Source organism: Homo sapiens, chromosome 3 (genome assembly GCF_000001405.40).
Source record: "Homo sapiens chromosome 3, GRCh38.p14 Primary Assembly".
NCBI lineage: Eukaryota > Metazoa > Chordata > Mammalia > Primates > Hominidae > Homo > Homo sapiens.
The window spans coordinates 88,218,383-88,221,740 of NC_000003.12; the positions used below are offsets into that span (position 1 = coordinate 88,218,383).

A 3,358-nucleotide genomic window follows, 5' to 3' on the forward strand; every position below is an offset into this window, starting at 1 on the left:
GTATGTCTTTATTATCAGCGTGAGAATGGACTAATACGTTCATTAGATTACATTTTGGATAAAGCAGGTGTGATCAGCAACACTCTCACCATCAAGCATATCTTTGCTGTAACTCCCTTTGAATAGGAAAGAAAGTATCATTGTATATGTGTATGTAGGCACATGTGAATTTATCATGTGGAGGAAGCAGGACAAAGAAGGGGAAGATGAGGCCATAAAAGACAGGCATATAGGCGTCTGTGCTGGGGGAGTAAGCGTAGAGGTGCAAAAGAAGAGGGAGATTAGTAAATAATAAAAGGAAAAGTCAGGTTGTAACAAGGGACTAGGATGGTGATCCTAGTTAGCGGACAAAATAGTTTCTGAAGGCTTCTGTAAGTGAGGATTAGACATTTTTATTGATGGGTACTTGAATTTTTCTCCTACTCTATTTTCAAATGAAGCAGATTAATATTCTTGCTTCTTATAAGAAAACTTTAGTTTCCAGACAGTGATAATTTTCACAGCATGAAAATGTTACATAGTCTTCTGACTAACCTCAGTTACTTAAGTATTGTAAGGTTCTATTTTCAGGTATCATCTGTTTTCAGATACTTTTGCTATAGTGATGCTTCAGGCATCATTTTCTTATTTTTAGGATACAATGGCCTCTGGGTTTCTGCCATTCATTTTCTGACTGTGGTATCCAAAACCATTCGAACAGAAGGTGCATGGTGGCACACACTCTCAGCTGTGGACCCGTGTCGTTCTCAGGCTTCCTCCTAAGGACAGAGCCCTGAATGTCATCGTGGGCCATGTGCTTCTGAAAGAGAGCTCCTCCTTTTCAGCCCTGGGGGATGTGTCTTAAGTAATGGTGATTCAGTTCACCCAGTTATTGGTTTAAGCATGTGCATGTCATGTGTTCTGGCCAATGAGATAGAAGGAAAAGTCATCTGGGGATGTGTCAGCTCTTAATTTATTGCCTCAGCTCTGAATGCATCCTTCGATACATGCTCTATGATCAATAACAGAATTCCTTTAAGATTTTCTCTTTAAAGTAAGTATGACACTAAGCATTCTCAGTAGAGGGCGCTGGAGAAACATCGTAGGAGGCAGAGGCTTCATGCAATTGCAGCCTGAGCTGAGGAGCGACTGTGTGGTTGTGGGTACTTGGAGTGGAACCTGCCTGAGCCACAGGTTCAGAACACGATTTCTCTGTGACCTTGTCGTCTTGGCCTGGAGATGAGCTGGCTGGTCTGCATGCAGCTGCCTGGGACCCAAGGGGTAGCCCCCTGTGCAAGCCCATTCCCACCAGCCCACAAGCTCTGAAGGTCTTTGCCCTCCACTGGGTGGGTGGGGGTGGGGTTGGGGCTGCTGAAGGTCTTTGCCCTCCACTGGGTGGGTGGGGGTGGGGTTGGGGCTGCCTGTTTGCCTAGCAACTCTAGATCAGTGCAGGTCTGGCTAAACTAGCTAACTTTCTTGCTATCCAGTGGCTGAAGCACACCTTTTCCAACAAGGCCTGGATTCCTCAGATTGTCCATGTCTTAAAGTCACTTTTATTATAGCTAATAATTTTTATTTTAAACTTTCTATATTTAACCTACTGTGTGATTTCTATCTCCTGATTAGATTCAGATTGCTACAGGGGGTTCCTGGGAAACAGCTCTTTAGTCATAAAAAGCAGTGAATGAATGAGTCTTCCCTTTTCTGACTCTGAATGTTAATACCATACATGTAACCCCCAGAACTACAGGGTTCATTTTTAGCCAATGGGAAAAGCCAAGGAAAGAACCTGGATTTCTTTTTTTAATTTTAAGTAGATATGAGGGTCTTGCTATGTTGCCTAGGCTGGTCTCAAACGTCTGGGCTCAAGTGATCCGCCCATTTTGGCCACCCAAAGTGCTGGGATTATGGGTGTGAGCCACTGCGCTCGGTCAGAAACTGGATTTTTGATGACATCATCATGCCCTTGATTTGACCAACCCTGCTGTGGTCCTCAAATGAGGTTGTGAGGGGTGAGGGTGGGGAGAAGCACATACCCTTATATTTAGGCTACTTGGGGTTGTGATTTCACTTACTTGCAGGACAAAGCACTCCAACAAAAATGTAAAATATTCCCTTGTTTAAAGTCATCATTAGTCTTACTTTCTTTTTTTTGAGATGGAGTCTCGCTCTGTCACCCAGGCTGGAGTGCAGTGGTGCAGTCTCAGCTCATTGTAACCTCCACCTCCCAGGTTCAAGTGATTCTCCTGCTGCAGCCTCCTGAGTAGCTGGGAGTACGGGTGACTGCCACCATGCTCAGCTAATTTTTGTATTTTTAGTAGAGACAGGGTTTCATCATCTTGGCCAGGGTGGTCTTGAACCCCTGACTTCGTGATCCTCCCGCCTCGGCCTCCCAAAGTGCTGGGATTACAGGCGTGAGCCACTGTGCCTGGCCCAATCTTACTTTCTTTAAAGCAGTCACATTGTCTCTTGGCAAGCCTGGTGAGAACATCAGTTGTTACCCTTTTCATTCATTAGATTATATTACCCATCTTGCTTAACAAATTCCAGAAGAGCTCTAGTTTCCTTTCATTGTCACAAATATTCAAGTTCCTCATATCACAAAGTTACATCAGCATTTCTTTTATTCTTTCAGGTTAGTTTTCTTTTTCTTTTCTTTTTTTTTTTGTGTGTGTGACAGAGTTTTGCTCTGTCACCCAGGCTGGAGTGAATTGGCGCCATCTTGGCTCACTGAAACCTCCACCCCCCAGGTTCAAGCGATTCTCCTGCCTCACTCTCCCAAGTAGCTGGGATTATGGGTGCCACCACCATGCCCTGCTAATTATTTAATTTTTGAACTTTTAATAGAGACAGGATTTTGCCACGTTGGCCAGGTTGGTCTCAAACTCCTGACCTCAGGTGATCCACCCGCATCAGCCTCTTGAAGTTCTAGGATTACAGATGTGAGCCACTGTGCCCAGCCTCCTTTCTGATTATGTTGAATTTCTACTAGTTTTTATGGCCAAAAAAAAAAAAAGCCATTGACAGGAAAGCCCTGTGAGTTATTTCTTTGGAGGATAAAACATGTTACATGTCAATTCTTCCTCAGAAACCTGGAATGGCCTCTCTTCCAGGAAACAGACACTTCCCTCACTTTCTAACTTCTCTACTTTCACACAACTGGGTATAATGCTTCAATATAAGGCTCTGCTTAGAATGAATACTATACACACACAAGTTAATAAAAAGAGAAATACAGCACTCCAAGGCCTATTGTCTCACACCACCTGTGTCCCATGATGAGTACTTATAATTTACATCCTTGATTAAAATAAAATCTTTCCACAGTGGAGTGGGCTACAGAGAAGAAATCTGCCATATGGCTTTTACAGGTGTCGTC

At 43.7% G+C, this 3,358-nt stretch overlaps 1 annotated feature.

Moving 5' to 3' along the window:
* Positions 982-1,151: an enhancer, noted in NCBI's record as "active region_20120". NCBI's record gives its function as "activates an Ori minimal core promoter by ATAC-STARR-seq in GM12878 lymphoblastoid cells {active_cell/tissue: GM12878}" and the evidence as "EXISTENCE:reporter gene assay evidence [ECO:0000049][PMID:35858748]".